At 37.5% G+C, this 27,629-nt stretch overlaps 1 protein-coding gene and 1 long non-coding RNA gene across 7 annotated transcripts in view; one reads left to right on the forward strand and one right to left on the reverse strand.

The window, feature by feature from the left end:
* Nucleotides 1-7,508: 7,508 nt before the first annotated feature.
* Nucleotides 7,509-27,629, reverse strand: part of DIO2 (iodothyronine deiodinase 2) — a 33,532-nt gene continuing 13,411 nt past the window's right edge. For 2 of the 6 annotated variants that reach the window (NM_013989.5, NM_001366496.1), the window contains exons 1-2: nt 21,234-21,487; nt 7,509-13,271 (exon numbers count right to left, since the gene is read on the reverse strand). In NM_013989.5, coding sequence (NP_054644.1) covers nt 12,672-13,271; nt 21,234-21,455 — 822 coding nt within the window. In that variant the 5' untranslated portion in view covers nt 21,456-21,487 and the 3' untranslated portion in view covers nt 7,509-12,671. Of the gene's footprint in view, nt 13,272-15,584; nt 15,719-16,213; nt 16,322-21,233; nt 21,509-21,816; nt 22,162-25,954; nt 26,134-27,629 lie in introns of those variants that run through there. The other 4 variants (NR_158991.1, NR_158990.1, NM_000793.6 and 1 more) reach the window with 4 other exon arrangements.
* DIO2-AS1 (DIO2 antisense RNA 1) overlaps nt 21,402-27,629 on the forward strand; it is a 244,049-nt gene continuing 237,821 nt past the window's right edge. Inside the window, exon 1 of the long non-coding RNA NR_038355.1 lies at nt 21,402-21,471. This is a non-coding gene — a long non-coding RNA (DIO2 antisense RNA 1). The remainder of the gene's footprint in view (nt 21,472-27,629) is intronic.

Consider the following 27,629-nt stretch of genomic DNA (forward strand, 5'->3'; position numbering starts at 1 on the left):
CCCTATAGAGTACCAATAGAATAACATCCTTCTTCTCAGAAACCTTAAAAGCAAAAAGAGAATAAAGTGAAATACTTAAAGTGTTGAGAGAAAGAAGCCACTAATCTGAATTGTGTAGCCTGTGAAATTATCCTTCAAAAGTGAAGAATAAATACTTTCTCAGAAACACAAAAATTGAGGAAATTTGTTGTCAGTAGAACTGCCTTGCAAGAAAAGTTAAAAGAAGTTATTTAGAAAGAAGTAACATAATATAGGTCAGAAACTGAGATCTGCATAAAGAACAACGAGGAAAGAATAAGTGGAGATAAAGTAAAAACTTTCATTTTTCCTGTACTTAACAGATCTAACAGATAACAGTTTGTCCAAAATAATAATAGCAACAATGTATTTAACTATGTATGCTTATGTATACATCTTATTATATATAGGCTTAGGAGGGATAAGAGGGAGAAATAAGAATTATTTTGTTATTATAAGGTACCCACACTACCTGTGAAGTAGTATAGTGTTATTTGACAGTAAACTTAGATTAGTTGTGATTATATATTGCAAAAGATACAGCAACAACTTCAAAAAGTACAAAAAAAGTATTACTGATATGCTAAGAAAGGGAAGAAAGTGGAATAATATAAAATGTACAGTTTAAAACCACAAAACGGGCCGGGAGCGGTGGCTCACGCCTGTAATCCTGGCACTTTGGGAGGCCGAGGTGGGCGGGTCACGAGGTCAGAAGATCAAGACCATCCTGGCTCACACGGTGAAACCCCGTCTCTATTAAAAAAAATACAAAAAAAATTAGCCGGGTGTGGTGGCGGGCGCCTGTAGTCCCAGCTACCCGGGAGGCTGAGGCAGGAGAATGGCGTGAACCCGGGAGGCAGAGCTTGCAGTGAGCAAGATCGCACCACTGCACTCCAGCCTGGGCGACAGAGCGAGGCTCTGTCTCAAAAAACAGAAAAAAGAAAATCACAAAAGGAAAAAAGAGAGTAAAAGACAAAAATAGGAACAAACAGCAAGATCAACAAATATAAAACAGTAATAATTACGGTAGATATTAATCCAACTATATCTTTCATCATTTTGAAAATCAGTGGTCTTAGTATACCAATTGAAAGACATTGTCAGAGTAGGTCAAAAACAAGACCCAACTGGATGTATTATACAAGAAATTTACTTTAGATATTAAAACACTGTTAGAAAAAAGTAAACAAATGAAGAACAATATATATACAATGCTAACGTTAACGTTAATCAAAAGAAAGCAGAACTAGCTAAGTTAATTTCAAACAGAGCAGACTTCAAAGGAAGGAAAGTTATCAGAGACAAAGAAGGATATTACGTTAATGATAAAGGGGCCAGATCTCCAAGAAGACATAACAATCTTTAATGTGTATGTGACTAACAATGAAGTCAAAATGCATGAGGCAAAAACTGATAGAACTGCAAGAAGAGGCCGGGCACGGTGGCTCACACCTGTAATCCCAGCACTTTGGGAGGCCGAGTTGGGTGGATCATTTGAGGTCAGGAGTTCCAGACCAGCCTGGCCAACATGGTGAAACCCCGTCTCTACTAAAAATACAAAAACTAGCTGGGTGTGGTCGCGGGTGCCTGTAATCCCAGAAACTTGGGAGACTGAGGCAGGAGAATCGCTTGAACCTGGGAGGCAGAGGTCACACTGAGCCGAGATAGTGCCATTGCACTCCGGCCTGGGTGACAACAGTGAAACTCCGTTTCAAACAAACAAAAAACAAAACAAAACAAAAAAACTGCAAGGAGAAATAGGTGAATCCACTATCATAGCTGAACACTTCAAACCCCCTTTATCATAAGTGGACAGATTCAGTAGACAGAAAATCAGTGGGGCATAGGTGAATTCAGGAACACCATCATTCAACTGGTATAATTGACATCTACAGACTCCTTCATCAAACAACAGCAAAATATACATTCGTCTCAAGCTCCAAGAAATATTTACCAAATAGACCACATCTGGGGTCAGAAAATACACCTTAACATTAAAAAAAAAAATAGAAATCATACAATGTCTGCTCTCAGACCACAATGGAATCAAACTCGAAATAAATAACAGAAAGACGACTAGAAAATGCCAAAATATGTGGCTATTAAACTCACTTCTAAACAACATGAGTCAAATAAAAAACCTCAGTAGAAATTTTAAAATATTTGGAACTAAATGAAAGTGAAAACACATCTTATCAAAATTTGTGGGATGTGAAACTGGTGCTTAGAGAGAGGTGCTTATAGCATTGAATACATATATTAGAAAAGAACAAAGATCTTAAATCAATAAATTTTCACCTCACAAAACTAGAAAAAGAATAAATTAAATCCAGAGTAAGGAGAGGAAAAGAAGAAGAAATCAATAAAATTGAAAACAGGAAATCAAGAGAAAATCAATAAAATGAAAAGCTGGTTTTTTAAAAAGATCTATAAAATTGATAAGCCTCTAGCCAGGCTAACCAAGAAAAAAACAGAGAGGACACAAATTACAAATAATCAGAAATGAGATAGGGGCATCACTACAGAGCACATGAACATTAACAGGATAATAAAGGAATAGTATAAATAACTATATGACCACAAATTTGACAACCTAGATGGCATGGGCCAATTTCTTGAAAGACACCATCTGCCAAAACTCAAGGAAAATAGACTGTGTGAATGGTCCTACATCTATCAAAGAAATTGAGTCAACAATTAAATAATCTTCCAAAAAAGACAGCACCAGTTTCAGATGGGTTTGCTGGTGAATTCTACCAAATATTTGAAGAAGAAATTATACCAATTCTCTACAATCTCTTGCAGAAGATAGAAGTACAGGGAATACTTTGCAACTCATTTTATGAGGCCAACATTACCCTACCAAACTAAAGGCATCAGAAGAAAAAGAAACTACAGATCCATATCTCTCATAAACACAGATGCAAAAATCCTCAACAAAATATTACCAAATTGAATTCCATGTGTAAAAGCAGAATTATACACCATTCTGAGTGGAGTTTATTCCATGTATGCAATGCTAAAATCTGGTCCAAAATTCAAAAATTAATTCATGTAATTCATCACATCAACAAGCTAAAAAAATCACATGATCATATCAATAAATACAGAAAAGGCATTTGACAAAATCCAATACCACGTCATGATAAAAACACTCAGTACACTAGGAGGGAAGGTAACTTTGTCAATCTGTTAAAGAGAATCTACAAAAATACTACAGCTAACGTCATACTTGATGAGAAACTCAAAGCTTTCCTACAATGATCAGAAACAAGGTAAAAATGTCCCCTCTCACCACTTCTTTTTAACAGTGTACTAGAAGTCCTAGCTAATACAGTAAGACAAAAAAGAATATAAAAGGTATACAGATTTGGAAGGAAAAAATAAAGCTGTCTTTGGATGCATATTACATGATTGGTCTTTGTAGAAAATACAAAATAATACTTTTTTTGAAAAAAACCTTCCGGGACTAACAAGCAATTACATTAATAGAAAGGGTGCAGGAAAGAAGGTTCATATACAAAAGTCAATCATTTCCCTATATACCAGAAATAAACAAGGGGAATTTGAAATTGAAAACAAAATGCATCAAATTATTTAGAACTTATATATATATAAGTTCCATATGTAGAAAATGATAAAATTTGACAAAAATATCAAAGAATAACTAAATGAGATATTCCGTGTTTATGGGTAGGAATACTCAATATTGTCAAGATATCAGTTCTTCCCAATGTGATCTGTAGATTCAATTCAATGCAAATAAAAATCCCAGCAAGTTATTTTGTGGATATCAACAAACTCATTCAACAGTTATAAGAGGGCAAAAGACACACAACAGCCAACACAATACTGAGGGAGAAGTACAGACTGAGAGAATTGACACTACCTAACCTCAAGACTTAACCATAAAGCTACAGTAGTCAAGACAGTGTGATATTGATGAAGGAATATACAAAAAGATAATAGAACAGAATAGAGAGCCTAAAAATAGATCCACAAAAATATAGTCTAGTAGCCTTTGACAATGGAGCAAAGGCAATACAATCTTGTCAACAAATCACTCTGTAATACAGACCTTACAGCCTTCATAAAAATTGACTCAAAGTAGATTATAGATCTAAATGTAAAATACAAAACCATAAAGCTTTTAGAAGATAACATAAGAGAAAACCTAGATGATCGTGGGTATGGTGATAACTTTTCAGATGTGTTACCAAAATCCTCATCCATGAAGGAAATAATTGAAAAGCTAGATTTCATTAAAATGAAAAACTTCTATTCTGTGAAAGACAATGTCAAAAAAATGAGAAGACAAGCCACAGATTGGGAGAAAATATTTTCAAAAGACACATATAATTAGGGACTGTTATCCAAAACATACAACAAACTCTTTAAAACTCAACAGAAGATAAGATAACAAACAATCAGTTTCAAAAATGAGCCAAAGATCTTAACAGACACCTCACCAGAGAAGATGTATAAGTGGAAAATAACATATGAAAAGATGCTCCATATCATATGTTATCAAGGAAATGCAAATTAATTGTAATATGGTATCCTGGAATGGATTCTGGAACAGAAAAAGCACATTAGAATATAGATTATGGACTTTAGTTGATAATAATACCATATCATTATTGGCCCATTAGCTATAGTAAGTGTATAAATTAACATAATACATTAATAATAGGGGAAAATTGGTATGGGGCTTATAAGAACTCTCTGTACTATCTTCTTAATTTCTCTGTACATCTCAAATTGTTCTAAAATAAAAATTTTATCTTTTTAAAAAAAGTAAAAATCATTTCAGACATGAAGACTAAACCAAACCGAATATAAGAACAAATACAGACAAGGAATGGACTGTGAAATAATTAAAAAAAAAAAAGATACCACCTCATACCTATCAGAGTGTCCAAAATCCAGAACATTGACAACACCAAGTGTTAGTGAGGATGTGGAACATCAGGAATTCTGATCCATTGCCAGTGGGAATGCAAAATGGTACAGCTACTTTGGAAGACAGTTTGGCAATGTCTTACAAAACCTTAAAATGCTCTTACCATACAATTAAGTAACCATGCTCTTCAATATTTACCCAAAGGAGTTGAAAACCTATGTCTATATAGAAACCTGCACACAGATGTTAATAGCAGTTTTATTCATAATGACCAAAACTTGGAAGCAACCAAGATGTCTTTCAGTAGGTAAATGGATAAATAAAATCTGGTATATCCAGATAATGGAATATTATTCAGCACTAAAAGGAAATGAGCTATCAAGCCATGAAAAGGCACAGAGAATCCCTAAATGCATATTACTAAGTGAAAGAAGTCAATCTGAAAGGCTAGGTACTGTACAATTCCTATATGACATTCTGGAAAGATAAAACCCTGGAGACAATAGAAAGATCAGTGGTTGCCAGGGGCTGGGAGTGGCAAGGGAGGAAGAGGCAGAGCACAGAGGATTTTTAGGGCAATGAAAATAAAAATACCTTGTTTCATTTTATAATGATGGGTAACATGTCATTATACATTTGTCCAAACTCATAGAAAGTATAAAACAGTCCTAATGTAAGCTATGGACTTTGGGTGATAATGATGTGTCAATATAGGTTCATCAACTGTGATAAATATATCACTCTGCTGAGAGATGTTGATAATAGGGGAGGGTTATTCCTGTGTGGAGCAGGAGGTATATGGAAAATCTCCATACCTTCTTCTGAAAGTTGCTGGGAACCTAAAACTGCTCTTAAAAAATAAAAAGTCTCTTTCTTAAAAAAAAAAAAAAAAAAAAGCCACTGAGTTAACATCTGGTGTCTCTATATATTCGAGCCCTTCTTGCTCTCCTTTTTCTAGTAACAGATCCTACCCCCATTCAACAAAGTGGGCATGTTAGGCAAATTGGTCCAATCCAAGTTCTTCCCTGGGAATAAGGTCAAACTGCATCTGAACCACTTTATAATGAAATTGTAAGTCAGAGGCTTCCCCTAGCCAGATCACCCAACATACAGAGAAGCTGGTCTGGGTGAAAAAGCTGGCACCCAAAAAAGAATGAAGACAAAAGACCTGGCAAGAACTGAAGGCTTCTATGTTCCTGAATCCAGTTCTTACTAAGGCAAGTTTTATCCCAATCATTTGCAGAGTTTGGTTATTTCAGCCAATAAGTTCCACTTTTGTTTTTGTTTTTGTTTTTTTTTAGATTGACTTGGTCACTTGCAGGGTCTTAATGAATCCACAACAGGCTCCTTAAGGGAGTGTCTTAGTTTATTTTCTGTTGCTATAACAGAATACCACAGACTGGGCAATTTTTAAACAATAGAAATTTGTTTGGTTCACATTTCTGGAAGCTGGGAAGTCTAAGATCTCAGGGCCACATCTGGTGAAAGCCTCTTGCTGTGTGTCAGAACGTGGCAGAAGGCATTACATGGTGAGAGAGGGCGAGAGTGCACAAAACAGAGAAACGGGGGCCGAACCTCATCCTTTTATTAGAAGCCCACTCTCCCATTAACTAACCCACTCCCTCCACAATGGCAATAATCTATTCAAGAAGGGAGAGCCCTCATAACCTAATCGCCCCTTAAAGGCCCCACTTCCCAGTACTATTATATCAGCAATTAAATTTCAACATGAGTTTTAGAGGGGGCATTCAAACCATGGCATGAAGTGATGTTTTTATGAGTTTGGTTATATTGTTTTTACACATTACATTGTACCTAGCACAGAGCCCTGCAAAGAATAGAAACTCAACAAATAGTTGTCAAAGTAATGATTTTTTAAATTTCCTTTTGAAATTCTGGAATAGTATGTAAGATGCTAATATTAATAAAATTATTTTGTGTAGGAAATCATGAGCAAGTTCAGAGTCTCAAGAGATGCTCCTACTTTAAGTTGCCTGTTTTCCAAAAAATGCACATATTTAACCATGTTATGAACATATTCCTTTTCATTAACAGTCCATTGCCTCCACAGAACATATCCTTTATACCTCCTCATAGTGAAAAGTGCTTGATATAAATGTGTTCAAATGTATCACATATTAATACACTGCCAATCATAAATAATATAGAAGTGTGTGTATATAGTACATGTGTGTATGTGTGTGTGTGTGTGTGTGTGTGTCATTTTAACCAATTTCTTGGAAAGTATATTAATTGCACTTAGAAAGCCTGAGATGTAAATCTAACGAAGTAAAAGTTGGCTCCACAGTCTCTTAAACAGGCCCCTTTCTATGAATTCTGTGTGTAACTTGTTCATAAATATGGAAAGTATCTGAAGATTTTCTTTTTACTTGTCTTGATTTCCTTGAAGACCCTGGCACACAGCATGAGATTAAAATAATCTGGCATTGCTGGCTACTTTGCCCACAAATACCAAGGAATAAATATTAGAATGATGGATTCTCTTTCCCTTGTCAGCCATGAATATGTCCCAGCCTGGGGCAAGTTCTAGGGAGAAATGTTAAAATAAACAAATAGAACCAAAGAGTAGCTTTATTCTTTTATTCAAAGTTTATTAAAATACAAGAACAAATTGTATAAGCACACATAGCACTCAGCACCAATATGATAACACTCTTTCTACTGATAATCTCCCAAAGCAGTTCATTTTCTGCAACTGAGAAGCACATATGTGTAGCATATGCACGCGTGCATTCTCACCACATTTACCCAGGACTCTTAGCATCATGTCCCGCATATTCTCCTTGCCAGGGAGACAAAGATGGGGAGAGGCAAACTAATGTGACTACATCCAACCACTAACTGAGTCGATGACTCTTTCGTCAGTAGTTATCATCCGCACACTGGTCAACTCTGCACATCTCTGTCTCCCTCTTCGGGCGCCCGATTACTTGGGCTAGTGAGTCTGGTGACAATGTGATGCAAAACTAAACAAAACTGGCCAACATTCCCTACCCAATATCATTTAATTGCTTTGGTTATAAAGTACTGGATACTTATTTCTTCACATCCCCCAATCCTAATACACATAAAAACCACGCTGACCAGTGACATGGGCCTGGAGAAGTCTTGAGAGAATTTTCTTTATTTCCCATCCCCTTCTGTGGGTTTCTTTCATTTATGTGTTTACCTGTTGGCTTTTTGAGGGGAGGGGGAGAAGTGGAGGGTTTGAGCCAAAATAGTGACTTCATTAAACATCTGCTGGGTCTTCGAAGTCTCAGTAAATATTGAATAAGCTCCCTGGAGCTCTGCTGTTGCTGCCTAAGACGGGTAGCCAGCCCCGACTTGCATGAGCAGTCTTGTTTGGATATCTGCACATGTTTGCTTTCTATTGGTTCAGACTCACCTTGGAACAGAGCTGGGTCTGTTAAGTCTGAGACCTTGCTTCTGGTACTATACACATAGGGCATTAGGAAGTGGCCCAATGTTTTGCTCATCCTAAAGTCACTCAATGACTTGCAGCAGCCTTCAGCCTTCCTTCAGTTGCGAGAAGTTTGTTTTCAAATCTTCCCAGATTGGTAGACCAAGCCCTCAGGGCCTTGTTCTTCCCAGTTAGCAACTTTCTAGCTCTCCCATCCTAGATCCTCTCTTTTCTTAGAGAGCCTCAGGACATGACCAAGATTGTGCCCATTGCAAAGCAGAGATTGGTACTTAAGCCCCATTCTGGAAGCATATATGAAGAGTGGGTTTGGATTCTATTTTTAGAGTGAAGGAGGAAGTTGGAATCTAACTATATATATTTTAACTCTGACTTTTGGCCATACCATTTAGGGAAAAAAAAAAAAAAAAAAAAACCTCCTAAAATTAAAAGCCTTACTTGCAGTCTCCACTGCTGAGACACATGACAGTGGGGATGTTCTGAAAAGCTCTAAATGCTAGTAAAGGTTTTCATTAATCCTTCAGTGGGACGGAAGTCAGAGTCTACATTTTTCCTTTTTCAATGGTCATATGATCCTAATTAAAGTTATTTTCCAAACCATCAGTCAGAGGTCGGGTGGAACAAATGTCCAGATTCATCCATCCTCTTAAGATTGACATAAAGAGAAGTCCTGTAAATCAGTCAATTCTTCTTGCTTCGCACATAGGCCATAGGGCATGCTGAGGACACCTTGTAATCCACCTTTGAATTTTCCCGAAGGCATACATACTGTCTCTAACCTGCCCTCTAGAATTTTATGCAGCAAGGCAGCACCAACATGTGACCTCACCATATTTCATAATTTTTATTTCAGAGCCCAAATAGTAAAATACACTCAGGCAAAATGAAAGACAATAGGCTATTCTTCCCACTGTGATGAGAGAATAAGCACTTCCTGGTTAACGGGAGAAGAACTTAACTGAACAGATCACTGGGAAGTTGATACTACCAAAAATCAAGGAGACGTGCTATAAATGAGGTGAAGACACAGGACCAGAGACCCAATGTGAAAAAAGAAAGTCATGTAAGTTAAGTGACTGTCACTTAGCTATACAAAGTAGGAACAGTTACTAATCTGCCTCTAAGGAGGTCAGTTACATTTTAATAGCTGTATGAAACATTTCTACATTACTGTGCGGGCATCTCCATTCATGCCCATTCAAGAAAATCATTGTTGATCCCACTAGTATTTTCACTAAGCAATAAATAAAGTCAGTTTTTGATAGGTCCAAGACATAAGTCTTTCAAACAATAAGTGTTTGAGTAGACCCAGATGTTATGATAATATCTAAAATTTCTTGGAAACTATTTCAATAATAGACAAGCTAATGAAGCTTAAAAGGCTAAACCGATAGCTCCATGTAAACACAGCCTATGGGAGAAACATGATTAGGGACTAAGAAAGAGAACTCAGACTTTTATATATGATATAAATATATCATAGATTTATACTATGATATATAAATAGATACACATTTCCCTGTGGGACTAAGAACTACAATTCTTCAAAGGAACAAACCTTATAAAACACATGAAACGCACATGAGTATTGGCAATCTAATAATTTCTCAGCATATCAGATAAAGCATTGATTTTCCTCTACCTCAAAATAATGAGTTCTTGTTAATTTCATAAAAGAATACATCACAAGAAATCATAAAAATTCATGTTGCGATAAATAGGTTACATAATTACAGGCTTAACCCTGATAACACCAAGACATTCTACATAGCGTAGGATTCCTGAGCTTTGTCCATTCATTTTCTCCATTGGCCCTTCCACAGCCTTTCTTCCAGAAATTCTTGCATGTTCTATTGAACATCTTCCTCCCTGATAGCCCATGTCTTTCTATGTTTCCTTCCTCTGCTTCATTTCTCCATTGGGCTAACCTCAGGGAGAATTGTCTGCACACATAAACGACCTCCTTCTTTAAAAATATAGCACAACTGGGTGATTTTTCCATCATCCTTTTCCCCAGTTGACTAGCACTGCCTCAGCCTAATCTCATCCCCCCACCGGCTTATCTGACATACTGTTACTTTATCGTACATAGAGAAAAAAGGGGAATTTTAAGGACAACAGTGTGAATGTGCTGCAACCAGGTTTTTTATTTTACTGCTTTAGGGTTCCACGTAAATCTCAACACCATTTTGAGGTTAAAAATCAATGGGGGCAGAGATAAGCCTTGAATGTAGAAGTTAACAACTGAGGAATCTGAAATAATTATTCTCAATATGATTTTCCAGCAACTCATTAGATAATGAAATTTGCTTTGTTTCTTTGTGGGTGGTTTTTATAGAATTTAGAACATTAGAAAGCTGATGTTGCCATGAAAAATCAGTCCCAATGGAGCTTTAATATTTACACAATATACCAGCTGGTGACACGACTGATATGTTGCTCCCATTTAAAAAATAAAATAAAATACGTTTGGTTCTTGCACACCTAGTTCTCACTCTTTTCTCAATTCAGACAACTAGTTTAAGAATGTATTTTCAACTTTAGTTTTTTTCTATCCATTTTATTTATTTTTTATTCAGTTATTAATGGAATGGACAAAAGATCCTTTGATTGTACCTTTAAATACAATCATATACTATGATTTCATAATAGTCTCATATTTACCAAAAAGAAATTATGATACGAAAGTGGTTGGTCCATTCTTTTGGGAGCTATAATCTTTAAATATTACTTATGGGTAAAACTATAGTGTCTATTTTAAAAAGAAAAAAATATTTTATATATATATTTTTTAAAATAGCATTATAATCATATACTATAGGGACTTTAGATTACTAAACCTCAGCTAATGGGACCAAGGGAAGATCCAAGTCCAAATTCAAATGTCAATGGAAATTCCATGATATACCGGGGGTTGCCTTATAACAAAGCCTCCAAAATGATTGATCAGAATTATCTCTAACTTCCTCTTCTTCTATTTTGCAATGGAAGTAAGCTTGTTTGTTTGCACCTATTCTTCACTATAGCTCACCTACTTTGGGAGGAAATCAAGGCTGTGCTGAATGGCCATGGTACCTACCTCCCGCAGCAGCTGAGAATATATATACATATATTTGTATGTATGTATGTATGTGTGTATGTACGTATAATTTCTTCAGCTCAGCATTCAGAGAGAACACTGCTATAGAGACCAAGATTAGGAATGACTTGGGCCACATAGAAATTGTAGGAATGGGGAGGAAAAGACCAGCACCACCAGACCCACTGGTTTTCCTTTAATAGGTATCATGGGGTATAATTAACCCACTGAAAATATACATACCACATACATGGTTCAAAAGTAATTATTTCCAAAAGAAACCCCTCACAATTACAAATATTTAAGTATTTTTTTTTCTTTCAATCACCCCTTTCTCCTCTCTAGGAGCATATGACAAATATATTGTTTTTATATGTGTATTCTCTATGCCACTTTTAGTTGAGCTCCTTCTTCTTTTTCTGGCCTTGTGTATGTTTCTATGTTTCCGTGGCTAACAAATGTGACCCACTCTCTACAGCTTAAGGGTGAAACTCTGTGAATTTTCCAAATCTTTCTGCCTCCTCTTTCCTAGCTTGTCAATTTCATTTCTTTTTTACCACTCTCTCCACCTGCCTAGAAATTAACCCTCAGATTACAGATGATCATTCTAACCTCTCAGACTGAGGGATCATTCTCGGTATCTACAAATATACCAATAATTTCTGGGGTATGAAGACTGAGAGCACTACATGGCTAGAAGCTGGAACATCAGAAATGACTCTAACATAAGGTCTAACCTTAACACCAACGTCTAACCACATGGCCTGGGTTCAAGGACTTGTTGTAATATTTGGGAATTTTCCAACTGGGCTCCATCCATGCCAAATAGAGCCAAGGCAATACCCTTTATCTTAACGTAGACAGTAGCTTCCCTAATGTAGTAATTATTCAGGTAAGTCTTTTCTTCTGGTCTCAAAGCATGCATCAGATGTATCAGTTCCTTCTCAATGCAGAATGAACACATGCTGAATTAGCGTTTCTTCCTCTCCATCTTGGGATCTTTTCACATAGGGCTTTTTACTAAGAAGAGAGGTGATATGGTTACTTACTCAGCCCAATGCCATTTGAGTAGTGAAAGAAGTATGGAGCTGTTAGAGATTCATGTTCTTCCGATAGATAAACTCCTGTCTTTCAGTAAGCCAATAGGGCTCTGTTGAAATATGGATTCAGTTCTTAATTTCCTTGCCTTTATATAACTTTTTAAAACAATAAGCTCTCTTATAATCATACCTTTAACCAGCTAATCTAGTTTTCTTTCATCTCTTGCTGAAATTCTTCTCCAGCCAATGCCGGACTTCTTGAAGGTTGTAGGAGAAGGGGCCCTTTCCTCCCAGATAAGCAATTTTCTGTCTCTGCACAATGCACACACGTTCAAAGGCTACCCCGTAAGCTATGTTGGCGTTATTGTCCATGCGGTCAGCCACAACTCGGCACTGGGGCGGCAAGGAGAAACGCTCCAGAAGCTGCTGGGCTGCTGCACATCGATCTTCCTGGTTCTGGTGCTTCTTCACCTCAAAAGACAAAGAGGAGTCCCCCGGTATCGCCCAGCCATCTGATGGATGAGCCTCATCAATGTAGACCAGCAGGAAGTCAGCCACTGAGGAGAACTCTTCCACCAGTTTGCGGAAGGCTGGCAGCTGGCTCGTGAAAGGAGGTCAAGTGGCTGAGCCAAAGTTGACCACTAGTGGGCGCTCAGGGCTGGCAAAGTCAAGAAGGTGGCATGTGGCTCCCTCAGCTATCTTCTCCTGGGTACCATTGCCACTGTTGTCACCTCCTTCTGTACTGGAGACATGCACCACACTGGAATTGGGGGCATCCTCACCCAATTTCACCTGACGGTAAAAAAAAAAAAAAAGAAGAAGAAGAAGAAGGTGAGAATATCACATTAAACACATTGCCACTTGAATTCACATTAAATAGTTACAATTGGCTCTAATAGAGTGTGGTATTTCCTTCAGAGCATTTGGTAAACATTTATTGATTTGAGTAAAGAGGCATGATGGCAGGTAATGTAAAGAATGGCCCAAAAGACAATAAAAGTCTTTTTCATTCTGTATAGTCACTGAAGATAATTATTTTCATCACTGAAGGCACTGGAGTTAACTCTTTTTAAAATTAAGCCAAGGCTGTTATTCTTTACTATCCTTATTTTGCTGTCAATTCTTAACATGCATTCTATAACAAATGATTAATTGACTTCATTTTAAAAATTAGAAGCAAATGGTCTACTTTAAGACAAATTATCAGGGTCTTGGGACATGGTCCCTCTTTCTGAATTCTGAAACACCAGGCAGGACCTTCATTTTCTTGCATGATACTAAGTCATTTAATCTCAACCAATGGCCAGTGATACCAGTGGGCTCTATTCTTGGCCAGATCTAGAAAACCTGAGGTCTACCACTTATAAGAAGTGTTACTTCCACTTAACCTCTTTAGTGATTCAGCTTTCCCACCTGTAAAATGGAAATAATAATGCCTGTCTTCCACATATGGCAACTGGAGGACAACATGAGAAAAAGAGCTCTTTGTGCACTGTAACTCTATGGGTGTGTGTTGTCCTTATCAGATGCTACCCCACCATGTGAAACAGAACATCATCATTCTTGGGCAATTCTGTGTTTGTTTTTGTTTTTTTAAATGCCCTGAGCAAAGCTTTGCACTCTCCTCAATATGGCATCCTCCCTGGAGGCTTCTACTGCCACTGCTTACAAGGTGGTTCTTACCACTCCAATCTTACAATTTCCATTTAAAAAAAAAATAAAAACAGACAAAAAAACAAAAATGGTTACTCCAGAATTCTACTTTAAGTCAATTTCTCATTTTCCATGTGTGCTTGTTTCCTTCTTTTTATCTAGGAAGTCACATTAAAAAGTACTTTTCTACCCCACAATTTGTTAACAAGCTCCTCTGAATTATAAAATATTGGGGCAGAAGAAGTAGAGATAAAAATTGTTTCATGTGCTCCCTTTGCACATGGTTTAAATAGTTGAGAACAGAATGAAGGAAAGTTTGCAGCCTTTGAATCTGTAAATTGATCATAAAAAGCAGGCAACAATAAAAGAGCCAATTACTTCAGTTTGAATTAATACGATTGGATCTTCCTTAGAATGGTTTAATCAAAGCCAATAACATTAGGGACAATTTAGGGACAGTACAATTGATTTTTATATACTATCCTTAATATTACAATATACTTCCAACTGGGTTGACTTATTTCCCTCATATACATACAGCCACACATAATGCTACTGTTAATTGAAGTCACTTCGAAGTGAATTGTTAAAGATGTAACAATCCAAACTGATATAACCCACTCAAGGGCTTTTATTCAGAAGCTTCTATCTAATGTTAATGCATAACTCATTTTAACTGTAGAGAAAGAATTAAAGTTCTTTCTCTCCCTTCTGAAAAATCCTAGCAGGGAAGGTTTGAAATAAGCATTATTAGTGTTCTAAGAGAAATCTTACTGTAATAATCTTCCTTCTCAGAAAGGAAGCTGCTGGTGTGATTTAAGTAAGTACATTTGTTTTTTAGTCACCACCACAGAGAAAATTATTTTACTTATACTAACTTTCTTGATTAATTTGCAAATGACACTAGATGGAGAAATCTAATAAGCACATTTAGCTGGATTCTTTCATATGAACTACCCTAGTCTTTAAGGCATGAAAATATACATCAAATTTAAAGATATGTTGAAGGTATTATTAACCTTTTAAGCCGTGAGTTCTTTTTGTACTTCTTTTTTTTTTATAGATCTAGGTAGTGGGTAGCAGTCTCTTCTCTTTAGATCTTTCCCATTTGAAATAATAGTAATGATTCTAGAAGGGGTGTTTTAACAATATCATGTGTACTGTGTGCCTCAACGTACCGTGATAAGAAGACCTAAATGCATTCAGATTAGTCCGTTGTAGGGACTTCCTGTTAAGTAAGCAACCTGTACACTTGTAGGTTCTTGATAGGTAAAAACATTCATCTGCATTTTGGAATCATTTTTGAAACCCATGAACAATTATGTGGCCTTGACAAATGCGCCTCTAACCCCCTGATTCATCCGAGCAGACCTGTTGATCCTTTCATTATGTCTGATTATTCAACTGAATAATCTAATCTGTTGCTTTAGTCACAGGGGACTCTCTTATTACCTGCAGTAAATTTTCTTGGAAAGTTAAGGCACCTTCTCCTTCTTAGAAACAATGTATAGTTCAGCTGCAGAATTCTTTCCAAAACACAGACTAATTTGCCTTGGGAAATTTAGAGTAAGTACAACACTGTCAGTCTAAAATAAAAAAATTAGGAAAGTTACCAAATTCGTAATGCTCTTTATGGGGGGGATTTAGCATTTTGTTAGGATTAGGGTTAGACTGGGAAGTATTTATTTTATTGAATGAATGCTAGTTGTTATAATTCTAGGTCAGTGAAGAATTTTACACTTAATGATAACCCTGACCTGCAATGAACATAATCATATTTGGGTGACGGATAAGCTCACTGAGGCAGATAAATTTAGAAATATGAATCCTGGGGCCCTCTCATAGAGTACTACCAAAATCAGCACTCAATGTTATTGATCTGTCCTTGACAGTCTCATCTGGTCAGTGCACAAAACAAATGTGGCCTATTATTTTTATTTTGTTGAGGAGCCAGGGTCCCTTACTGAATGTTATAATGTCATAAATGGATATGCTTATTCATGAAGGTGCCTAGGCAAGAGAAAATGCATAGATAAAATTAATATTATTAATAAAACTAAGAAGGAAAAACACACACCCACCATCCATAAATCCAAATGTGAGTAGACCAGTAGTCTGCTTTTATAAGCTTCATATACTAGTCATAAAATGTGTCCATCTTTGCTAAAACCTGATGGAGGACAATTTAGCTAAAATAAAGAAAAAAAACTTTTTTTAGATATGGAAGTTTCCTTTAACCTAAAAGAAAATATTCTAAAAGGATATTACTGTTCATTCTCATCTCCCCATTTGGTCACCATAAAAATTAAATTCCTAATAGACCAGAGTTTCAAATGGAGAACTTCTTGGTTTGCTGGGTTATGCACCCTGCTGAGACAGGCTGGGAGAATCACCATTGTCTTCGATGATGGAAGATTCTTTGCTCTCCCCACGAGCAAAGCATTCCTTGACACAGAGCCAAAATGATGAAGAAAATAAAGTTGGTCCCATAATAACATTTAGGCTGCAGGAAAGAAGCTCAACAAAAACAAGTTATCCCCTGGTACTCCCAAACTTTGTTTTAATTTCCCACAGTGGCACAGAAAGTCTGGCCACAAGTTACCTATCATCTTAATTTCTCCTTCTTAGAGGGTTTGTGTTTGGTTTTTGTCCTTAATGAGACATATTTGCCAAAGAGGCATTCAAAAGGCATTTTTTACTCTTGCGGAAGAGTAATTAGGTCGGTACCTCTTTCCCTGCCAGCATTAGCCGCTCTAAAGAGAACCCTGCCCAGTATTTAATGCCCAAACACAAGAAGCATCATTTCCACTAATTGGTCTTGAAGTTCCGATGTTCCCAAAGGGTCCCTTTATTTTGCAAGGATCAGAAAGGACATACGTAAAATGTGATATTGTCATCGCTGACTTTTATCTCTCTCATCTGCACTATTACAGTGGTCCTCTCTTATGTTTTTGCAAGCAACATCAACACAACACCAACAAAGGAGGTAAATAAAGGATTTGCATTTTTACAACAGAAGACATCTCCGGGCCAAGTTCAAATGTTGGAATGGAAATCTTTATAAATATGAACATGAACATAAACATATAGCATATATAAAAATTTGATTCCCTTGATGATGTTCAGTGTTCAGTGCATGGGGAAAAAGGAAATGCTGCTTTAGCATGTGGACTGTGAAATGCAGGGCAAGGGGGAGAAAAGAACCATTCATCAAGTAGAAGCAGAAAATACAGCATATACTACTAACCTTGTTTCTTGTTTTGGGATTTTATTTCTTTTTCTTTTCCACAGCCTGAGAAAGCCTTGTGGACAATATATCACATAATCTCATAACAGAAACTAAAGCAAATTATAAAAATGAAGGGTGGGTGTGTGGTAGCAGAATTTTCACACATACTACTTGCTATCCAAAGCCCTGAAAATGGCTTTATTAACTATCAGGAAGTTTCAAATTCTTTGACATAATGACCAGGCTACATCAATGTCCTTAGAAACATGGCCAAACTATCATTAAGAAGAGATTTAACCATTTATATTCAGATTGGCCAAATAAATCAGAGTTGAAGAATAGGCTACGTACTCCTTCCTCTGAGCTCAATTCCCTTTTAGCTATTCTCTTTTTAATTTGTACCTTGAAAATGTAGCTCTAAGCTCTATCATTCCCCAATGTTTTATCCAAGTGATGGACAAGCTCTGGCTGTGGCCTGCTTTGTGTTCTTTTGGGACTGTTTCTCTCTTAAAAGGGCCATTTTCCATTGTGGAAACTAGTGTCAAAGGCTTGAGGTGAATGAAGAGGAGGAGGAGAATGTTAAAGAGACCCTTTCAAAACCAAAATTATATGTTCAAATGAATATGTTTTCTGTACCTCTGCAATATTAACCGTGCAGAAGCTAAACTGCCTGTCAGCATCTATACTGTGTGTTTACTTTTACACTTCATTTAGGTAAGAGCCAGGCTCCCAGACAGAGCAATTTGCTTATTGGTTGCATGTTTTTAGTCTCTGAGCGCCAGCACAAGGATATACTGTTCAGATGCAATGACGCTGACTAAAGAAACTTAAATAACAAACACCTTTTATTCACCTCAGGGTCTCTCACCAGTGTCTATAGACTTTCCTTTCAATCAAAATTGTACACAGAATCCATCTCTTACTAAACTCACATTATCTTTAAAGGCTTCTCCATAAAGTTAATTCAAATCCCTTTCAACCTTTTAAGAAAGGGTTTATTTAAAAAAAAAAGAAAAGAAAATATTTTGTTCTTTCTTTATTTCTGTGTTGCCCCTTGTGGAGGCAAAACACAGGGATAATACTTTTACTCCACTTTCTCTACATATCTTTCCAGGCATCTGACATGCAGCAACAAGGAGAATTAATAACAGTAAATCACATGTGTAGTTGTATCACATGAGCACACACCCCTCTCATCCTGGAAAACTTCACTTCTGGGGATGGGTAGCCTCAAAATAATGCAAGTCAGGGTTATGAAATAGTGTGATGCCATCTCAAACAGAACCTCTTACAACGTCTCTGGAAATGACTACACCCAAAGACAGTGGCACAAATGACAAGAGCATTCAGAGAAGTGATTCAACCTGGTTGAGAGATTCTGAGTGACCCTCAAATGCCACCACAGAAACCACCACCCTTGCCATACTTGAAGACAGAAAAGAGACCATCATTCAGTTGCAGCTGTGTTCATAATGTTTCCATTTATCACACACCCAGTCCAGTCTTGTTTCTGGATATGTGGGTCCTGGGGTTGCTTCTGCACATGGTAGCTATTACATAAATCATCAAAAGCAAACATAATAACATCAGTCGTGAACTTGGTCACTAATCAAATCAGTAGGCAGGGACAAAGAAATACAGAATAGGAATATACAAACCATATGCAAAAAGAAAAAACAAATCACTCATCCTTCCCAATTTCCTAGAATAGGAATAACAACATATTGCAACATAATGGAACACTATACATTGGTGAAAAAAACAATAAACTTTATTGAAGACGTATTTGTTTGCTTTTCCATTTTATGTTCAATAAGCTGCTTAATGGGAGAAACAACCTCACTTAATATTTGTGGGTAACATTACAGCCCCCATTGTTTATATGAGAGATGACTGTTTTTCATGTTTTTCTTAATGAAACATGACATTTATATAAGAAATATATGTATATAAGTAAAATTCTTCCAATAAGTTTTTTTTTTTTTACTTTATAGGCAAAAGGCAATTGTCCTTCCAAAAAGTAAGAGTTTAATATACTGAGATCAAATCACTGATATTTCCATGGTATCTGCTAACACGTATAAAATATGATGTTGAAGAGGGAACTTCCTAATTAATAATATGTCTGATATACTTGTGTACTCCTCCACCTGCCTCCAAATTGCCTTCCACTAAAACAAACCATTAAAAACTTCCCATTCAATGTATACTTTTGTGGAAATGAAATAATCAATTCAATATCTACTTTTCTAGATCTCCCGTCCTCACTGACATGCACAATATAAATGAGTTTTTACTGTTAGAACTTTGAGCACCAATTCATATTCTCATAAAAGAATTTCCATCTACTAATAAGAGCTCTTACTATTCACATTTTTAACAACAATAAACACAAACCCTCTTTGGGTTACTATCAATAATAAAGACGTGCATTGTGGTAAAATTTCCCTAGTTCACAACAGATATTTTCTTCTTGAACATCTGATTTTCAGAAGAACAATCCTGTCCTGAATTCTTTGTAATTTTACAAGTTACTTCTTCTCTTTTCTTGGCGCATGGTTTTAGTTTTCTAGTGTTTATTTATGGAGGATGCATTCCCTTGCGTCTCTATTATTTCGAGTTCCCCGTCTCTGGTTCTAAGGTGCTGCCTGCCTAAAACACACCACTTCACTGAACACCTGGCTTCTATATTCCTCTAAAATACAGATGTACAGTTGCTTTTTCTGGCATCTTGGGCAAGGTCCCACAACACTTTTAGGGAAACCAAGATTGTCTATTTTGATAACTACTTTTGCCAAAATAGTTCATTCTTCTCAAGCCTGGTTGAGGGGGTGGAGGGGACCTTTAGAAGTCATATGGGCATAGCAGGTGGGGGAAAACTGACAAAAGACCAGGGCGAAAATCATCCTCTGTGCCCCTGAAGATCTTAGTTGAAAATGCTCTACTAACATCTCTCACCAGCAAAAAGCCTGGAACACAGTATTTTTCACTTAGAAACTAAGATCACTACCTCTGATTTTGAGAGAGCAGCCCCTGGGCACTACCTGAGCAGGTAAGGGAGACCACTGCTCTAATGCTCATAACAGCTCTGAGATTTAATGAATCACAGACCCATCATCTCTTTCTAGGGCAACGTATTTTATTTTTGAGAAACAAAGTAAAGGAGGCTTCCCTTACAAATGCTGGATTTCTGACAGCTAGTTTTCAGACTTTTCTTTCGCAAGTTGATATCTAGTAACTCAGGATCACTGCCTGAAAATCGCTTCCAAAGGGTTCAAATTTGAATCAATGTAGAGGAGGTGGCACACAGCTGCTTGCTTTCATTAACTCTTACCTCTACCAGAAACCAAGCAGCTATGATGCCCAATCACAATTTCTATGACCACTTTCTTATCTTGTCAACTCTCTGAGAGTTCTGAGTAGCATTTCTCATTTCTTGCTTTTCAGTACCCACCCCTCGAACATACTTCCTCAGTGTACCTCAGCCTCCCATCAAGCAAAAAATCAAAATTCCAGTTTATGGCAAGAGCAGAATAAATGCAGCAGTCTCCTCTTCTCCATCATTTTCTGACTTTTCCCAAGTTATCGTACCAGCACAATGCCTTCTACTCCCAAATCACAGCAAGATATTAATAACCCTTAGTAGAAAGATTCCTTATTAGGTCACACAGAGTCATTATGGCTTAATAGCTGTCACCCTCCCAAGCTAACCTGTGCAACAGGTGTGGAAAGTAAACTTAGAGGCTCACTTGGCAACCCCACAAATAGGGCTTCACAGCTCTCCCCCCAATGCTCCCAATGGCCTCTGGTCCCCAGCATATGAGCCCCTGCCCCTGTAGACCTAGGGAGAAGCCCTTCTCAGCTCAGCTCACCTGTTTGTAGGCATCGAGGAGGAAGCTCTTCCAGACGCAGCGCAGTCCCTCTGAGGTCAGCATGCGCCGCCACTCTCCGCGAGTGGACTTGGAGCGGCTCAACAGCAGCACCACGTGCTTGAGCAGAATGACCGAGTCATAGAGAGCCAGGAAGAGGCAGTTGGAGAAAAAAACTGGCAGAATTTGCAGTGTGATCAGCAAGTCTACGCTGAGGATGCCCATCTTCTCTGCCTCCTGAGTCAGTTCCCTTGTGCGCTCTGGTTCCCCTTCACCCTCTTATTTAAAAGGGGGGTGGTGATAAAGGGGGTGGGGGAGGTAAGGGGGAAGGTTGGGGGTTGGGGGAGAAGGGGAAAAAAAACTAAATTAAAAGGAAGCCCAAGTTGTCTCCTCTTTCAAAGAAGCAGAAATGGCAAGACTAAGTCCAGTCTCTCCAGCCCAGCAGTTGGAGTGTGCCCATCAATTCATTCAATTCGGAGCTGCTGCCTTTTTTTTTTTTTTTTTTTTTTTTTCAGGATTTAAGATGTTAAAAAAAAAAAAAAAAAAAAAAAAAAAAAGCTGGCGTACTCGTCCCTAATCCAGTTACCTCTGTCAGAGTCCGTTAAAGACAGGCAGTTCTACTTTCATTTCCAAGCACCTATGAGACTGTGGCAGAGATTTTAAAATTTTCTTTAGCCTTTCATTGTCTCTATGCTCTTTAAACGTAGCCTGTTTCTTTCTTGAATTGCCAGAGTTTTTTTTTTTTTTAAATGTGCTTTAAGGGTAGTTTTTTTTTTTTCTTTCTTTACTCCGTTTTACACACACTTTCTGTGCTTCTCTTTCTCCCAGTCTCACTCTCTCCCTTCCCCAGGAGCGACTGACTCCTCTTTTTTCTCACTCTCTGTCTTTCCCTTCTTGCTATCTGTCTGTGGTGCAAAGTGCCTCTCTCTGCAGCCCAGTGAGTCTCCCTGACGCCTTTTATACATTCCCTGGCTAATTGCTGCAATAGAGAAGTGAAAGCCTAATCTTGGTAAAGATCTTGACGTCATTGAGAAAGAGGGCTTTACTTTGGCCAGGATTGCAGTGAATAGAAAAGCAAAACTCGACAACTTTTTTTTTTTAGAAGGGGTTGGGGAGAGACAGTGGAATTTTGCTTTGTGATTTAAAGAGAGAAAAAAACTAATACCCTTGACAGCCTTCAGGAAATGCTTCCAAACTTTGGGAAAAGTAATTTAATATAATGTGCAGATTGATATGGCCAACACTCTCTCTTCTGATTATCATTATCATTAATTTATGAGGGGTTTTGGAAAGAAAGGATCCTGGAAGGCAGGTAGAAAAAAGGAAGAGTTATCACAGGCGGTCTTTGCTCTGTTTCTTGGAAAATATGAACATTTATATACAATCTTTATACCTTTATACCATGACTCCAACCCTTTGTAAGATCTGTGACCTAGGTCCTTTAAATTTTTTTGAGTCATTATCTTATTTAAGAAAATGCAAAATGAGTTGTAGGTGGAAAACTTGTAAACTATTTGAGTACCATCCCAGCATTTCTTTAAAGCTTCTTGCAGAAACTTGAATACAGGTTTCTTTTTAGTTTTACCCAAGCTTCTAATGAAAAAAAAAAAAAAAATCCAAGTTCCTCCAGACAGGGAAGGAGCTAGGCGACATTCTTTTAGCTTCATTTTGCAGATAAAATTAAAACTTTCCATTGAATAGCATTAAGAAGCCATAAGGCTGAGAAATTATTAATGAAAGCTCTTTAAATTTGGTGTTTCACCTGCTTCTGTTAGCATAACCCCTAAGAGACCTGATACTTTAAGGAATCTTCCTTTTTGTTTGAAAAAAATTTTAATTAAATGTATGGGAAGTTAAGAGCCGACTGAATTGGTTCAAGGTGCCACATTGACCATTGTTCATTGGCTTGCCTCTCCCATGAGTCTTTAGGACAGGTATTTAGGCAGACAATGCTTTGGCAGAATGGCATGACCCCCACTTTATTCTACTTTTTCATCCTGTGTTACCTAATAGATCACTGAGTTTTCTCAGTGATAGATACTGAGTTTTAGATACTGGGTAATAGATAGCTGAGTTTTCTATGTAGCCAGAGCTTAGGCATAAGCTAAGCAGTAGGTGCAAGCTTGTGGTTAGCGTATTGCGTATTTTTTCCATGTGGCTAAAACCTTCATGATCACAGAAATAATTTAAAAGCCTAGACAAGAGTCATTAATTTGTCGTCCTGTTAGCTGAATTCTGCATATTAATGCATTTTGTTTGGTTGGCAGGTTGCTTTTTTGCCTTTAAAAAAACAATAATCAAAAAAGAATGCCTTTAGGTTCCGTGAGAGCAGGGATTCTTGTCCACTTTGTTCACTGCTACCTCCCCAACACCTAGAACCATGCTTGGCGCACAGTTGGCTCATTGAGGACGTCCTGAATGAATGAATGAACAGGGCATGTAGAGGGCCTCTGCATTGCTCTACACTAGGGGGCACCATTCACATACAATATGATGTGAATGGGGGTGCCCTGGAATTGTAAAACGTGGTGGCCTTGTGCAATGCCCTCTCTTGTGACACAACCCTCAGCATTCCCTACAAATTCTTTCATTTTTTTCATTAGTTTGGCTCCTAATGAGTTTTGAATTTGCATCTCATGGACGAAATTGTTAAAAGACTTCAAAGCTTAGAAAAATAATATAAACCACATAGAAAAATTACACCTTCCCTATGACTAGCATACAATGTTAGCAAAATAATATTACTAATATATGCAATGTACATTTACTGCATGTATCTTCTCAAACTACTCAATGTCCTTATGGGAAAAAAGAAAGAACAAAGGCAGGGAGTTGATAGCACAGTATTTTAACTGGTGGAGATGTGAAAGCTATATTGCCATAGTTCCCACCAACAATGGCAGAAGGAGGTGTAGACTCAGGAAATGCTGCTTCCACTCAATTGCCCAGGCCTTAGAATCTCTCCCCTTCTCAGACCTTCATTCTACCTTGATTGAATTAAACCAGTGCTCCCCTGCAGTGGAGACTTCAGCAGCTTTAAACCAATTCTCTCTCACTTGCTTTTGCTCTGAAGGAGGAAAGTATGTTTGTAAATGGCAAGCTAAGGAGAGGGATTGATAGAAAATCAGAAAAACCTTTCTTTTAAATGTGAAGTTCAAAGCATATCCAGACTTTAAGTGGTTATAAGTTAGAATTAGGACTCTGTTGGGGGCTTTTGTTTCTTTTTATTTATTTATTTATTGAGGTTAGAAGTGTTTGAAGGGAATTTTTTTTTAAATAGGAGAACAAAAAGATACACAGCCAATCTGGTTATGTCATTTCTCAGATTTCTTCAATCATTTTTCTAAATGAACGATAAACACATCACAAAACTGAGGGCCATTCCTCTAGCAGATAGACAATCTGTCCATCCAAGAAATTACATTTCTCCAAAGCTATTTCTTTTTTTATGCATGGTGCACAATTGCTCATTCCAGTTATTAAGAATATTTACCACATTGATTTTCAAGTAATTTTATACTCATTAAGTAACAGAATAATCCTAAGGTGACAGAGTATGACTTTTCCCATCATATAGATGAGAGAAAGCAGATTACCAAAATTAGGGAGTCCAAGCGGGTGTTGGGATATTTTCCCTAACTCTAAATAAGCCTCACTTTTTTTCTTTAATGTCTGTTATGGGTCCTGGTCATTACTATGAGAACCAAAACCCTTGTTGAAAGTGGTTTGCTAGTAATTTAATCTTCAAAATGGCAAAGGCTGTGAGGACTTCACATCTGTTTAAGACTGTCCCGACTCAGGCTCCTTGTTTAGATTTCATATGTTCTTTCAAAGGGCTTGGCTATCTTCTTGGTCATGTATGTGTTCTTAGCAATCAACATGTAATGAGTTAAATGCAAACCAACGAGGGGCATGTCGGTTGCATTTCCCCATACGATATTCCACACGGGTTTTAAATTCCAAAGAGAAGCAGCCTAGGGCAAAATGCTTTGGGCTTTTTATGAAAAAACCTTTGCAAAATTGTTTAACTTTTTTATATTCCCATAGTAAAAGAGCATCATGTCCTACTGTTGCCTCTTTCTGGTTGGAAAATAACAAGCATATGAGTCACAAGACTTTCTTTAGTCCTCTTCTTGACTCTAAAATTGAGATTGAGAAAATAAAGTTGGATAATCTGAAAGCAGACTTGGAAATTTTAAGCACAACAGTTGCCATTACTATTTCCTTATTCTTATTTGAAAGAGCAGAAGAGCATCCAGACAGTTCTGTCATGTTAACAACTCATACCATGGACTTTCAAGCTGCCTTTGTTTCGTGGAATTTTATTCTTTCTAATTCCAGTGATTTGTCAAGTGCATAATTTAAAAAATGGCATTTCATTTTTACTTTCTTAAAAACATGTCAAATAAACACATTATAAATCCAAAAATGTCTGGAAACAGCAGGCATGCTGATTTTGGATTTGAGAATATGGTTGCCATACATAACGCCTAAAACAGCGCCGCTCTTATCAGAGCAAGGAATCACAAACTGTATAACCTACTGCCTCCAGTGACTCTGCCTGACAGGGAGTTATGACGAACGGCTTACACCACAACTACTGAATCACTCAAAATTCCCTGTGGGCCCATCCATTCCACAAACACAGCCGTGTTCTCTGCCTTGTGATGAAAGGAGAAGCTCAATGGATAAAATACACAATCCCAGAGTAAACTCTGACACACCTTGAGCAAAGCAACTTGGGGGCGGGAGGGCAGGCTGACGCCTTGGGAGGTATGAGCATTCTCTCCCAGCAGCCCTCTCCGTAGGTTCCTCTGCAGTGCTGGCAGACAGCACCCATCCGAGTTGTTAATGCATTCTTCCCTCAGGAACTGTTGCTTCTCTTTTTTTTCCAGGCTACCTACTGGTAAGACAGAGGGGGAGAAAAAGACAAAGGAAATAAAAAGGAGAGGGAAAGCAAAAATGAAGAGAAAAAGGGAGATAAAGATGGTAGGAGATAGGCAGGGAAAGAAAAGATTCAATGAGTTGCCAGTGGAGGCCACCAACAAAGAGCCAGTTAATGCTAATTGTGGCGATGCTCTTTGTGAGGCAACAGCTGTCCGGTATCTGGATGAAAGCCACCACCGCATTTCACAGAGGCCACAGAACAGCTGTTAGGAGACAACAATATACTTCACTTAGGATTGGCCTAGTCTGGATCCACATTGATAGCCAATCCCCTCTCCCCACTGCCCAAACCTCTCCAGGTGCCTTGACTCTTATTTGGTTTTGAGAACAGTTTATCAGCCTCTAGAGACACCCAGAGTTTGGGATGCTGTGGGAAGAGGGGTGGTAGGGGAATTGAGAAGAAGACTTTGTAAAGTTATACATGGTGAATTCATTCATGACCAAAAATAAATAAATAAATAAATAAAAAGCTGAAAATGAGGAAATTGAACTCACCCTTTCTTTTCTGAAACTGTGACTCAATCTCTTCTTTCTCCCTAAATACTTGACCCAATGCAGTAGACCAAAAGAAACAAAGGAAAATGGTCAAAAAAAGTCATCATCTCTGGAACAACATTTCCTTTACTTTGTTTCATTCCTCGGCTCGTAGGAAACCACCGGATGATATTAAGTTTTAAAATAAAATAGGTCATTCTTTATAAATGGCTTTACAGCAGCTTTTTTAAAAAGTCACTTATCCATCACCTCCCTCATATGCTGAAAATGTGAACACCAAGCATGACAAAATATACTAAGAAACATGCTGACTCATGCCATTTCAGAGGTAATGGTGTAGTTTGTTCCCAATGAGAGCAAAGGATGCCACACCTCCTCCCTCAAGAATCAGTACACTAAGTAAGGCTCAAAGAAAATAAACTAGATATTCTATTCTAACCTCAGTGGAAATGAGGAAGCTAATAGAATGAACTGTAGCATGAAAAATTTCTGTTTGGTAAGAGGATAAAATACCTGCAATGAGGATGATTGTATAATGAGTGTGTTACCAAGGGAGGTTATGAAAATGTTATCAGTGGACTCACAAGGTAGGGAAGAAGGCTAATAAAATAATCTCTCAAAACCTTTTTAAGCTCGTGGTACTCTTAAAATAATGGTTCAGGATAAGTTACTACATAACATTACATAAACAACACAACAGAGCCACTGGTGGAACACAATAATTTATAAATTATTGTTCTGTTTCCATTTCAATTTTGAAGACTAATTTTTTTGTCAGATTAAGTGAATCCTTATGCTTTTCTAAGAGGTGGTAGACAGGAAAGCATTAGGGTGTCTTCCAAGGACAAAATATAAGGCATGAAATTTGAATCTATTTTTACATCCAGTCTCATTTATTAGATGGACACTGGGAGTCTTTTATCAAGATGTGACCACTTAGCTAAATGATTATTTTCA

Source organism: Homo sapiens, chromosome 14 (assembly GCF_000001405.40).
Source record: "Homo sapiens chromosome 14, GRCh38.p14 Primary Assembly".
NCBI classification, from domain to species: Eukaryota; Metazoa; Chordata; class Mammalia; order Primates; family Hominidae; genus Homo; species Homo sapiens.